General features: G+C 38.2%; 1 long non-coding RNA gene across 1 annotated transcript in view; it reads left to right on the forward strand.

Moving 5' to 3' along the window:
* Positions 1-469: 469 nt before the first annotated feature.
* Positions 470-14,483, forward strand: part of LINC01799 (long intergenic non-protein coding RNA 1799) — a 67,031-nt gene continuing 53,017 nt past the window's right edge. Inside the window, exon 1 of the long non-coding RNA NR_110169.1 lies at positions 470-503. This is a non-coding gene — a long non-coding RNA (long intergenic non-protein coding RNA 1799). The remainder of the gene's footprint in view (positions 504-14,483) is intronic.

Genomic DNA, 14,483 nt, shown 5'->3' on the forward strand with positions numbered 1-14,483 from the left:
TAATGGTGACCTGGAGGTGAAAGGCTCTGTATTCCATTACCAGTCTCCTGAGTAATCTACCTAATTCAGTATCCTTTCATTTAATTGAAACATTATTTTCTCTCTGTTAGCCAGGGCACTCAAGGTGGTATAGCAGTGTTAATCTTTCAGCTGATTTCCATCTTTGCAGAATTACCTTTCTAGCAATTAGACCCACTGGTATAAATTTGCTTTGCTCCTTTCTGGAGTTCAACATTACAATGGAAATCTCCAAGCTCAACACGTTTTCCTCCAGGCTGACCCAGGGCAGGTATTAATTAACTGGGGTGTTGTGAGAAGGTTGAGCTGAAAAAGCCAAGTAGGAGAATGCTACTCTTGGGATATCTCTGCGGCCAGCAGACGGACTAAAGAGGGTGAGACCCGGATGAAGAAGAATCGCATTTAAAGTTACGTGAAATGACCGCACTATTAGTGAACCGGGGAGCAGAACAATGGTTATTCTGGAAGTACATCAGTACGTTCAGGTAACAAATCTTCTGCATCCTTTGTTGAAATCTGAATGTAGCTAATTTGTGAACATTCTCTAAGACACACAGGGTTACAGTGATAAACTGTCTCAGCTTGTTGGGGACTGAGAGATTCTGGGACCAGAGAGGCTTTCAGAGTAAAATTGTCAAAGTCCTGCAAAAACTAGGATGTGTTGGTCCTCCTGCTAGGTCCAAGTTGTTATTTTAAGCAGTCTCATTCTGTCATCCAGGCTGGAGTGCAGAGGCATGATCTTGGTTCACTGCAACCTCCACCTCCCAGGTTCAAGCTATTCTCCTGCCTCAGCCTCCTGAGTAGCTGGACCACGGCTGGCTAATTTTTGTATTTTTATTGGAGACAGGGTTTCACCATGTTGGCCAGGCTGGTCTCAAAATTCTGACCTCAAGTGATCTGCCCGCCTTGGCTTCCCAAAGTGCTGGGATTATAGGCGTGACATGTCAGTTGATTTCTCACGTCTTGCCAAATGGCAACAATAAGTTGATACTCACCCCTCATTTTCTGTCATTTGACTTTTTCTGAAATCTGGTGTCTGCTCCTACAAACACAGAGAAATTAACCCTGGATTTTCAAGGTGGACAGGATTGCTAATTGTCAAATCCAGTGACCTTCTCTTAGAACTTGCCCTCTCTCTAGCATTGAACACAGCTGAATACATCTCTTTTTTGAACTCTCTTCATTTGATTTCTAGAGCTGTGAAATTTTCTTACTCTTCTTTCTAACCATGTCTCTTTCTCCATTGCTTGAATTTCCACCGGCGGGCATGCCTGTTCTTTCTCTGCAGTTATTCCTATAGACGCTGCTGGTAATCTGCCTATTGCCCCTCAGTCCTGAATTTTATGCTCTGCTTTATGCTGCCAAGACTGGGAGTTAGCAAATTCTTACTTCCTTGGGTTCACTCGCCAGCTGGTTTGCCATTTGGCTCTGTCAGTAGAGGCACCTGGGGAAGGTCAGAAGGCAGGAGAAACTAGAAACCTCCTTCTCCTGACTCCAGCAGTGTTGGCAGTCACTCACAGGGACAGGTAGTTGCCATGGCACAACAGAATGTAGGGGATTCTAGTCTCCAGAAGCCTAGGCAGGGGCGTGTCTTCCCAGAAGCTCCAGCCCTTGTCAATGGTGAGTCTGGAACTAAATTTTGATAGCTTTTCCAATAGCACAGAAGCCAGTGAAGCTGAAGGCTCCAGCTCAGGCACATTCAATGCATGCATCCTCTGGCTATTGGCAACCCCATCTGTTGCTCTTCTAGCCCTTTTGATATTGTCATAACAAATTCTGTGCCCTTAAGTGTGAAATATACAGAGTGGCTGGTGGTTTCCTGACTGAGTCTTGACTGATCTACTGTTGGGCTTTCAATTCTTTTTTTTGTTGGTTTGTTTGTTTTTGGGGGGTGGGGATGGAGCCTCACTCTGTAGCCCAGGATGGAGTGCAGTGGCACAATCTCGGCTCACTGCAACCTCTGCCTCCCAGGTTCAAGTGATTCTCCTGTCTCCACCTCCTGAGTAACCGGGATACAGACACACGCCACCACGCCTGGCTAATTTTTGTATTTTTAGTAGGGATGGGGTTTCGCCATGTTGTCCAAGCTGGTCTCAAACTCCTGACCACAAGTGATTCACCCGTCTCAGCTTCCCAAAATGGGATTTCAATTCTTAATGATATATAAAAGACTCGACCTCGGGCCTGCATCAAAAACCACTGTCAGGACCTATCCACATGGTTGTAATGCTAGTTTATACTATACTAGTCGTCATCCTACAGCTCTTGATCTTCCCTCCCTATTACTAAAACAGCGACTAGTGATGAAGCTATCATTCTTCTATTTATCGTGGACACTTGCCACTCCCTTGCTTCCAAAACCTAATCAACCACCAATTCTTGTCTTTTTATTAGAAAAACAAAATTATTTCACATGGGTCATTTTGTTTCCTTTCCTTGGTTTTGGCCTCTGTAACGTCAAGTCTGAACAAAAGCAATATCTTTCTCATTTGTTAAGAAAATACTATTAATACCTGCTGTCTTGTAAAGTAGTGGCTACCCTGGAGAAAGTACTTATTTACATGATTTCCAGACAAATTGCCTTGACTCTAGGATACGTGCTGTCTCCTCCTGCAGATGAGGTGACTGAAGCTTAGAGGTTAACTTTTCAAAAGCCACAGGGGTGTTAAGTGGAAGAGCCTGGATCTGAACCTAGGTCCTTGTCACTCCATAATGTATGTGTTTTCCTTCAGTCCCTCCCTTTTTAGTCTCTTCAACATCAAATCTGTCACATAACCAGCCTGGTTAATATTCCTAAAGTTTACTTTTAAATCACCTGACTCATAGACAGGATTCAGTAAATACTTACTGAATGAACTGAACATACTATTCCTCTAATTAAACACTTTTACAATAAAGTTTTAACAGCTTGATTGAGGTACAAAAGTCATATAATAAACTACACGTATTCAAAGTGTACAGTATAATAGTTTTTGACACATACAAACCTGTGAAATTAATCATTACCATAATCAAGATAATGAACCTCTCCATCATTTCCTAAAGGTTCCTCAAGCCCTTTCTCATTTCTCACTCCCACCTCTCTCCACACCTACCCCCTACCTTATCCCCCAGTGATTCCCAGGAAAGCACTGATCTGCTTTCTTTCACATAGATTTATTTGCATTTTCTAGAATTTTATATAAATGGAATCAGACAGTGTGTAAGATTTTTTTCTCTAGCTTCTCTCACTCAGTGTACCTATTTTGAAACTCATCCATGTTATTTCAAGTATTGCTATTTTTATTGTTAGTGATAGCCCATTATATAAACATTAATTTGTTGATTCATTCACTTGATGGTAGCCACTTAAGTTTCTAGTTTTTAGCTATTACAAATAAAGCTTCCATTCAGCATTCACTTATTAAGTCTTTGTCTAGTCATATGGTTTTTTTCTCTTGGGTGAATGTATAGAAATGGCATGGCTGGGTCATGCGGTAAGTGTATGTTTAACTTTTTAAGAAACTGTCAAACTGTTTTCAAGTGGTTGTATCATTTTACATGCCCACCAGCAGTGTATGAAAATTCCTGTTGTTCCACATTCTTGTCAACACTTGGTATGAACGGTCTTTTCAATATTAGCCATTGTAAAAGGTATGGTAGTATCACATTATGGTTTAAATTTTCAGCTTCCTAATGACTAATAATGTTGAGCATCTTCATGTGCTTTTTGTCATCCATACATCTTTGCTGCAGTGTCTGTTCAAATATTTTGCCCACTAAAATATTAAGATGTTTGAATTTGAGATTTCTCATTATATTTTAGATTTCAATTCTTTATCAGATATGTGATTTGCAAATATTTTCTCCTGGTCCATGTCTTGTCTTTTCATCATTGCCTTCTGAAGAGCAGAATTTCTTACTTCTCATGAAGTCCAGTTTATCAAATTTTTGTTTAGTGCATCATGTTTTGGTATTATATCTAGGAAAGTTTGACCTAACACAAATTCACAAAGATTTTCTCCTGTTCGTTTTCCTAGAGGTTTTAGAGTGCCAGGTTTTACATTTAGCTCTGTAATTCATTTCGAGTTAACTTTTGTATACGGTTGTATTGGTTGAGGTTTAGTTTTTGCCAATGAATCGCCCATCTTTTTAACACCATTTGTTGAAAAGATTGTCCTTGCTCTATTTAATTGTCTTTGCACCTTTGTTGAAAATCAATTGACCATATTTATATGGATCTGTTTCTTCTCAGTTATGTTTCAATGATCTATTTGCCCATGTTGATGTTAATACCACACTCTAATTTTTAGATCAATCTTGATGTTAGGTACTGTAAGTCCTCCAACTTTATCTTTTTGAAAGTTTTCTGGTCTATCTTAGGTCTTTTGTATTTCTTTCTTTTTCTTTTTTTAATTTTATTATTATTATACTTAAAGTTTTAGGGTACATGTGCACAATGTGCAGGTTTGTTACATATGTATACATGTGCCATGTTGGTGTGCTGTACCCATTAACTCGTCATTTAGCATTAGGTATATCTCCTAATGCTATCCCTCCCCACTCCCCCCACCCCACAACAGTCCCCAGTGTGTGACGTTGCCCTTCCTGTGTCCATGTGTTCTCATTGTTCAATTCCCACCTATGAGTGAGAACATGCCAGTGTTTGGTTTTTTGTTCTTGCGATAGTTTACTGAGAATGATGGTTTCCAGTTTCATCCATGTCCCTACAAAGGATATGAACTCATCATTTTTTATGGCTGCATAGTATTCCATGGTGTATATGTGCCACATTTTCTTAATCCAGTCTATCGTTGTTGGACATTTAGGTTGGTTCCAAGTCTTTGCTATTGTGAATAGTGTCGCTATAAACATATGTGTGCATGTGTCTTTATAGCAGCATGATTTATAGTCCTTCGGGTATATACCCAGTAATGGGATGGCTGGGTCAAATGGTATTTCCAGTTCTAGATCCCTGAGGAATCGCCACACTGACTTCCACCATGGTTGAACTAGTTTACAGTCCCACCAACAGTGTAAAAGTGTTCCTATTTCTCCACATCTTCTCCAGCACCTGTTGTTTCCTGACTTTTTAATGATTGCCATTCTAACTGGTGTGAGATGGTATCTCATTGTGGTTTTGATTTGCATTTCTCTGATGGCCAGTGATGATGAGCATTTTTTCATGTGTTTTTTGGCTGCATAAACGTCTTCTTTTGAGAAGTGTCTGTTCATATCCTTCACCCACTTTTTGATGAGGTTGTTTGTTCTTTTCTTGTAAATTTGTTTGAGTTCTTTGTAGATTCTGGATATTAGCCCTTTGTCAGATGAGTAGGTTGCAAAAATTTTCTCCCTTTCTGTAGGTTGCCGGTTCACTCTGATGGTAGTTTCTTTTGCTGTGCAGAAGCTCTTTAGTTTAATTAGATCCCATTTGTCAATTTTTGCTTTTGTTGCCATTGCTTTTGGTGTTTTAGACATGAAGTCCTTGCCCATGCCTATGTCCTGAATGGTAATGCCTAGGTTTTCTTCTAGGGTTTTTATGGTTTTAGGTCTAACATTTAAGTCTTTAATCCATCCTGACTTAATTTTTGTATAAGGTTTAAGGAAGGGATCCAGTTTCAGCTTTCTACATATGGCTAGCCAGTTTTCCCAGCACCATTTATTAAATAGGGAATCCTTTCCCCATTGCTTGTTTTTCTCAGGTTTGTCAAAGATCAGATAGTTGTAGATACGTGGCAGTATTTCTGAGGGCTCTGTTCTGTTCCATTGGTCTATATCTCTGTTTTGGTACGAGTACCATGCTGTTTTGGTTACTGTAGCCTTGTAGTATAGTTTGAAGTCAGGTAGCGTGATGCCTCCAGCTTTGTTCTTTTGGCTTAGGATTGACTTGGCGATGCGGGCTCTTTTTTGGTTCCATATGAACTTTAAAGTAGTTTTTTCCAATTCTGTGAAGAAAGTCATTGGTAGCTTGATGGGGATGGCATTGAATCTATAAATGACCTTGGGCAGTATGGCCATTTTCACGATATTGATTCTTTCTACCCATGAGCATGGAATGTTCTTCCATTTGTTTGTATCCTCTTTTCTTTCATTGAGCAGTGGTTTGTAGTTCTCCTTGAAGAGGTCCTTCACATCCCTTGTAAGTTGGATTCCTAGGTATTTTATTCTCTTTGAAGCAATTGTGAATGGGAGTTCACTCATGATTTGGCTCTCTGTTTGTCTGTTATTGGTGTATAAGAATGCTTGTGATTTTTGTACATTGATTTTGTATCCTGAGACTTTGCTGAAGTTGCTTATCAGATTGAGGAGATTTTGGGCTGAGACGATGGGGTTTTCTAGATATACAATCATGTCATCTGCAAACAGGGACAATTTGACTTCCTCTTTTCCTAATTGAACACCCTTTATTTCCTTCTCCTGCCTGATTGCCCTGGCCAGAACTTCCAACACTATGTTGAATAGGAGTGGTGAGAGAGGGCATCCCTGTCTTGTGCCCATTTTCAAAGGGAATGCTTCCAGTTTTTGCCCATTCACTATGTTATTGGCTGTGGGGTTTGTCATAGATAGCTCTTATTATTTTGAGATATGTCCCATCGATACCTAATTTATTGAGAGTTTTTAGCATGAAGCGTTGTTGAATTTTGTCAAAGGCCTTTTCTGCATCTATTGAGATAATCATGTGGTTTTTGTCTTTGGTTCTGTTTATATGCTGGATTACATTTATTGATTTGCGTATGTTGAGCCAGCCTTGCATCCCAGGGATGAAGCCCACTTGATCATGGTGGATAAGCTTTTTGATGTGCTGCTGGATTTGATTTGCCAGTATTTTATTGAGGAATTTTGCATCAGTGTTCATCAAGGATATTGGTCTAAAATTCTCTTTTTTGGTTTTGTTTCTGCCAGGCTTTGGTATCAGGATGATGCTGGCCTCATAAAATGAGTTAGGGAGGATTCCCTCTTTTTCTATTGATTAGAATAGTTTCAGAAGGAATGGTACCAGCTCCTCTTTGTACCTCTGGTAGAATTCGGCTGTGAATCCATCTGGTCCTGGACTTTTTTTGGTTGGTAAGCTATTGATTATTGCCTCAATTTCAGAGCCTGTTATTGGTCTATTCAGAGATTCAACTTCTTCCTGGTTTAGTCTTGGGAGGGTGTATGTGTCGAGGAATTTATTCATTTCTTCTAGATTTTCTAGTTTATTTGCATAGAGGTGTTTACAGTATTCTCTGATGGTAGTTTGTATTTCTGTGGGATCGGTGGTGATATCCCCTTTATCATTTTTTATGGCGTCTATTTGATTCTTCTCTCTTTTCTTCTTTATTAGTCTTGCTAGTGGTCTATCACTTTTGTTGATCTTTTCAAAAAACCAGCTCCTGGATTCATTGATTTTTTGAAGGGTTTTTTGTGTCTCTATTTCCTCCAGTTCTGCTCCGATTTTTGTTATTTCTTGCCTTCTGCTTGCTTTTGATGTGTTTGCTCTTGCTTTTCTATTTCTTTTAATTGTGATGTTAGGGTGTCAGTTTTAGATCTTTCCTGGTTTCTCTTGTGGGCATTTAGTGCTATCCATTTCCCTCTACACACTGCTTTGAATGTGTCCCAGAGATTCTGATATGTTGTGTCTTTGTTCTCGTTGGTTTCAAAGAACATCTTTATTTCTGCCTTCATTTGATTATTTACCCAGTAGTCATTCAGGAGCAGGTTTTTCAGTTTCCATGTAGTTGAGCAGTTTTGAGTGAGTTTCTTAATCCTGAGTTCTAGTTTGATTGCACTGTGGTCTGAGAGACAGTTTGTTATAATTTCTGTTGTTTTACATTTGCTGAGGAGTGCTTTACTTCCAACTATGTGGTCAATTTTGGAGTAGGTAAATGTTAAGAGGAAACTGCTCCAGAATTCCATTCACATTTGCATACAATACAATGTGCATAATCTCTGAAGGTGCACAACAGTGATACTGGCCACCTTGCAAAGATGATACACTTCACTTTAAAGTCTTTTCTTGCCTTATTAAACTGGCCAGAACCTCTAATATTATATTGAGTAGAAGTGTTGAGAGTAGGCATTCTTGTCTTTTTCCTGATAAGTCTTTCAACTGAATAAAATAATAGCTGCATGGGTCAATCTCTCTTTCCAAAGATCACATTAATCCTGCATTCGGTCACAGCACAGCCAAACCATTGAAATAATGTTGTCTTTTCACATCACAAATCATCCGAATCCTTTATAGGGATATGAATTATTTAAACTGATGATCTCTTTTCAGTACAACCACTGGACAAGAGGTAAATAATATGCATACTATAAGAAGAAATTGTATAGGAAGTTTCCAGCCAGAAAGGGCTCTCAAATATCTCATTTATTTCATTTTTCTTTACAATTTCTAAAAATTCCAATATTTTTATGTTATTTAAAAAAGTGGATACAATGTAGAATAGCAAGATAAAAATATAGAACTAAAAGTTAAAAATGGGAATTAAATAGCATATGTCATTTAAGTTTAATTTTGATAATGACCCAAATTACCTTAAAGGTAAGCAGTTGTCAATAGATGCTTCTTACAGGCAGAATTAAAAAAAGAATTCTCTAAGTGTATAGACTGAAGGCAAAAATCAAGTTGACTAGAGCTGGAATTAAGGTTGAGAGTGTTATCCAGAGGAAGGCAGCACCACCAGTGATGAATGATCCATACACACACACACACACACACACACACACACACACACAGGCACACACAAAACAAACACAGTTTTATTGAATACTTGCCCAGTCTTACTCTATAATTATACACAATAGTTTCCTAAAGAATACCTCTGAGGGTAAGTGAACTGAGGGCAGGCTCCTTTACTCCCTAAATTAAAAGACAAACGTGGATCAACCTAACTTTCTACAAAGTAATTTGATTGACATTCACTACTTCCTCCATAGATGTTATGACCGCCAATCCAATGAGATTCTTAGTAAATAAACTTTCCAAATACCCTGAGGCTTACCACAGTAATGACTCTATCCCTGTTGTGGGCCCTATCTAATTGATACCCTCTTTAAGTGCTTGTATATATTTCATTTTTTTCTCTGCAATTTTATCCCTTTCTAGATGGACATAGCTCTTTAGCAGGGGCTGTGGAAGACCCTGTATAGATGGGTGATGAAGTACTTGCTCTTCAGAAATGTGCAGTGTTGTGGGGAAAAATATTTGCATACATGAAAGATCTGCATGTAGTCAAGTGATAGAATTGGATGATATTCTGTAGCCAGTTATACCCACCTGCCTTTACACATAGAAAAGATTCCATTGAATTCCCATTGTGAAAGAATCACATGGCCTGCTGTGTGGAGAATAGATTATAGAGGGACAACTACAGAAAAAAGGAAACTAATTAGGAGGCTTCAATGAGAAGCCAGGGAACAGATGAGGGTGGTTTGGACTAGGGGATAATGGTAGAGAGTATATGTATTTTGGTCTTAACATTTTCTCTCTCTCTCTCTCTCTCTTTCTCTCTCTTTTTTAAACATTGTAGCATCTTTGAAATTGGAATGAGTCTTGTGATTGATGGCTTCTTACCATCACTGCAGAACAGGAGACATAGAGATGTAGTTGCCACTTTTCTGCACATACACATAGTTGGTTTTGCATTTTTATTCTCACTCAATTGCATCACAGGTTCCTGGAGCTTTGCAACTTCAGTTCAAAATCTGCAGGAAGCAGAGCATTGCATTGCCCACTACTCTTAATGGCACTATGGATGATATTTTGTGGAAAACCATGTACTTGTATGATTCTGAATCGAAAGTAATTAAGAAGCTAGGTTTTGAAATCAATAATCTTTTTGGAAACTTTAACCAACTTATTTCACATACACTTTCCTCATACTGAATAATGATATATGGCAAATTTATGTTTACATAAGTGTAGAGGTCTTCAAATACATATAAAATAAAAATTCTAAGCAATAGCACTGATCACAGATTGCTAGATTTTTTTTCTTTTTTAGGAATGGATAAGATAATCATGTACCTCACAATTGCTGGTAGCTTAGATTCTATAAATTACTGTATTTTGAGGGTAGATTTAATGAGAAGAATGAGAGGGAAAGAGTCAAGGATGACTCCAAACTGTTTTGTCAGAGCAACCAATAATCTGGAGCTCCCAGTAACATAGAAAGGGAGAATTGTCCAGGGAGGAGAGTGGGGCAGGAGCCCTTCTTGGGGCATGTAAGATTTGAGATGCTGCTTAGGCATCTGCGTTAGTTTTCTAGGGCTGTTGTGACAAAATACTAAAACTGCATGGCTTAAAATAACAGACATTTATTGCCTCACAGTTGTGGAAGCTAGAAGTCTGAAATAAAGTTGTCATCATGCTCTTTCTGGTGACTCTAAGGAGGAACACTTCTTTGCCTCTTCTAGCTCCTGGGGTTTGCCCACAAGCCTCATCATTCTTTGACTTGTCCATGCATGCCTCCAGGCACATTGCCCTCTTCTCCCTCTGCATCTTCACATCATCTTCTCTCTGTTTGTGTCTGTCTCTGTATCTAAATTTTCCCTTTTATGAGGACACCAGTCATATCAGGTCAGGGTCCACCCTAATGACCTCATTTTAACTTGATTACCTCTGTAAACACTTTATTTGCAAATTAAGCCACATTCTGAGGTACTGACACTTCAACATATCTTTCAGGGGTTGGGGAGACACAAGTCAATCCATAACAACATCCAAGTAAAGAGGTCAAATAGACAGATGTCAACGAGGCAGTCTAAAGTCAGGAGAGAGGTTTGATCTGGAGACAAAAATGTGGGAATCATCAGCATTCTAAATGGTATAAATAAGACTGGGTGAGATCACCAGAAAGTGAGTGTAAACAGAATGAAATTGGAAGTCATTTAGAAGTTGGGAATTGTGGAAGAAGTGTCAACATGTAATATTGGGAAGATGTGTTCTAGTGCCTCATGTAGGTGGAACTTATAAACATAATGAGTCTGCCAACCTCAGAAGAGCTTTGAACTAATTTTTTTAAATGCCTGTTACCGAAGAGAATAGGGCTGAGTAGATATTCCTAAGTCAATTTGTCTAAATAAAAACTACTCTCAAAAACACAGTCAGATAACTGGTGCTAAATTTCAGTAGAACATCCCATTAAAACTCACTAAAGAATAAAAGAAAATAGGCATGGATTCTGCATAGTGCAAAAGAGTCTAACCTTAAGTGGGCAGGCTTTCAGTTACAATATATGAAAATTTTTTGGATTATACAGTCACACAAGTAAGTTTTTCAAAAGTCAAATTTTCTAGTTGTGATGGAATTTAGAGTTGAGTGTGGTTTTCTAACATCCTGCTGACAGATGAGGAAAGGGAGGTCTGGAGCTACCCAGGGACTAACCCAGCTAAGACGGCATACCTAAAAGGACATGACCCAAGGCCAACCGAGTCCTTTTACTTCCAGTTCAATGTGCTTTCTAGCACACTGCACCATTACACAATTGAAAGAAAAAACACCAGAGAATTTTATGAGAAGAGTCATAACTTTAAACACAAATCAAAGCCTTATTCCAGTAACAACAAAGTAAAAATGTATAAAGATCACAGTTGCATATCAGAATGCCATGGATATTTTATCACCATTTCATGGATCTTTAGAGTTTCATTGGACAGTAACTTAGCTTGAGAAATTCAGTTTAAATGTTGTTAGAAACAAAAATAAGATAAAGTAAAGCTGCATCCTCCATTTAGGGCAGTTTGGTGTGAAGGCAAAGAGGACACTGAAAAGACTTCCATGAGGCAAATGCTTAAGTCTTGTTCAGTTAGTCTCAATAATTAATAAACATTAAGATTATTTGAGTATCAAAATATGACCATTCTCTCCAAATAATATGATCACCCCTCCTTGTGAATAACCCTTAAACTTTATCAATATCTTTCACTTTCAATTTGGTATAGGCTCAAACTTATAGCACTTCCATAATAAAGGTTAATCTCTCTCTCTCTCTCTCTCTCTCCCCGTCTCTCTGTGTGTGTGTGTGTGTGTGTGTGTGTGTGTATGTGTCTGAGAAAGAAAGTTCCTCAGTAAAAAGCTACTCACTAAATTATGTAGTAAAAAAAAGTTGAAGCTTTGCAGTTAGACCTGAATTCATACTTTAGCCTATTACTGATCAGCTATGTGACATTTCCAAGTTTCTTGATTTCTCTGGGGCTCAGACATCCTTAATTTGAGAATTGGGATGATATTACTCACTTGCAAAGATGGCTGTGCAATATAAATGACTTAGTTAAGATATATGAAATCTTAACACAGCACTTGGTACTTACTAAATATCCAAAAAATGGCTTCACAGTAAATGTTTGTTTTAGCCATTTTTCTTCCTGTGGACAACATCTCTGCCACTGTTTATTTTCTAGTCTATCCAGATCAGTTTGTTTTGTACACCATATTGTCATAGGTAGTAAAAACCAATACAAATATGTTTTATAATGTTGTGTTTCTTTTTATTCAAGAATCATAAACATTTACAATCCTTCAGACACCTTTTTAGTTGATCTCTTTTTGTATTTCTTGATTCCATTCAAGTTACAGAATAAGTAGCTCTTGTTTATGTATCAGCATATATCTGTTTACTACTTAAGACAAATACTGTTTTCCTTCTATTGAGTAAAAGAAAGAGTTGCTTTTATAGAGTATAAATTTGAATTCATTTCATAACTGTACTTCACCCTAACTGCACAGACACCACCTTCAGGGTATATAGTACATAATCAATTTAGGAAAAAATGATTTTGAAAAAAATCCCATTTCGTTGTGGTTTCTCACGTATTTTTAAATGACTTAAGCTATTTTTCAAAAAGCTACTTAAAAGCTTTCTAACAAAAATTTAGATCTTTCTTCTATACAATCACTACCCTGCCTATGACTAACTGATCTTTGAGGTTTAGACAGTAGCTTTGCTTAAGAAATATCTTCTAAATTTTGTCAGAAACATAAATAAAGTGTAATAAAAATGCCCCTTCCATTTGAGGAAGTTTTGTAAAAAAGCAAAGAGGAAATGAAAATGATTTCCAAAAATGTACTATTTTGCTGCATGCTCAAACTTGAGTCCTTTTTGCCTTGTATTCATTTTAAAAAGAGCCAGTTAGACCAAGATGAGCAGATCACTTGAGGTCAGGAGTTCAAGACCAGCCTGGCCAACATGGTGAAATGTCTCTACCAAAAATACAGAAATTAACTAGGCGTGGTGGCGGGTGCCTATAATCCCAGCTACTAGGGACGCTAAGGCAGGAGAATCGCTTGAACCCAGGAGGCGGAGGTTACAGTGAGCCAAGGTTGCGCCACTGCACTCTAGCCTGGGTGACAGAGCAAGACTCTATCTCAAATAAATAAATTAAAATGAAAAAAATACAAAGAACCAGCTGAGGATGATTGGGTACCAGAAGTTCAGCACCTTCAGCTTGAGGACTTGAGGTCTTTAACGAGAGGGGGAGCTGGCTGTCGTCTGTATATCTGATGGTTCCGGGAACTTGTCTAGGGAACACTTCATCACCAAAGAAACACTTCCATCACATCAAGTCTAGCACTTTCACATGTACAACTCATTTGACAAGCACCAGATGTAAATAAGTCTGCACTCAGGAGCAGGAATATGTAGAGTCCTAGCACCTTCCGTAAGAATTATAAATTGCCCAATTTCAGGATGGAGTGAGATGCTTTAACGAAAGTTCAGAACAGCGGCAGATCTGGCACCAAATCTATTGCATGCTAATTGTTTCAGTGAGATAATTTTGAGGTAATTACACCTCACCAACACAAGTAACCTCGTTCAAGCTGTACTTAATCCAGTGTAGCTTGCTATTTCCAAAAGGTCAGGAAATCTCTTTCCTCACCTCTAACTGCTCACCTTTCTTCGGTGCACTATGGGGATGCATAATTCCAATGGAGTGGAAATTCAGTCGGTAAATGAACCCTAGACATAAATATTCATGGCAAAAACTTTTGGAAAAAATTCAAGAAATGAGGCTAAGTAAATCACACCCCACCTCTAGAGGTGACTAAGATATGCTCTGACAATTTGCATGGATTTGATTAAAATCTTTGCTCTGTTATTTAAGAACTATTTTCATGGCAACTGACACATCCCCTGGGCCAGTATTTGGGCACCACCTTTATGCTTTGGCTTATTGAAGAAGAAAGCAAGTGCATTTGGAGCCTCTCAAATTGTTCTTATTCCTGTGACACTTTATTCCTTCTCTACAGTTCTGGTCCTTAAAAAAATAATTCGAAGATTTAAACATTTTCTAATGCGGAAAAATATGCCTCAACTAACATAAAATTACTTGGAAGCTTGGAATTTGTTATACGCTGTGAAGCCTGCTATTGAGTTCATTCATTGCCAAAATTGGCTAAACAACACTCAAACATTGATTCTAATGTATTCTATAAATTATAAATTCTACTAAGTCAATAACGCTGCTCCCCTTTCCCATCCAAAAATATGTATGTAGGCGTG

Source organism: Homo sapiens, chromosome 2 (genome assembly GCF_000001405.40).
Source record: "Homo sapiens chromosome 2, GRCh38.p14 Primary Assembly".
NCBI classification, from domain to species: Eukaryota; Metazoa; Chordata; class Mammalia; order Primates; family Hominidae; genus Homo; species Homo sapiens.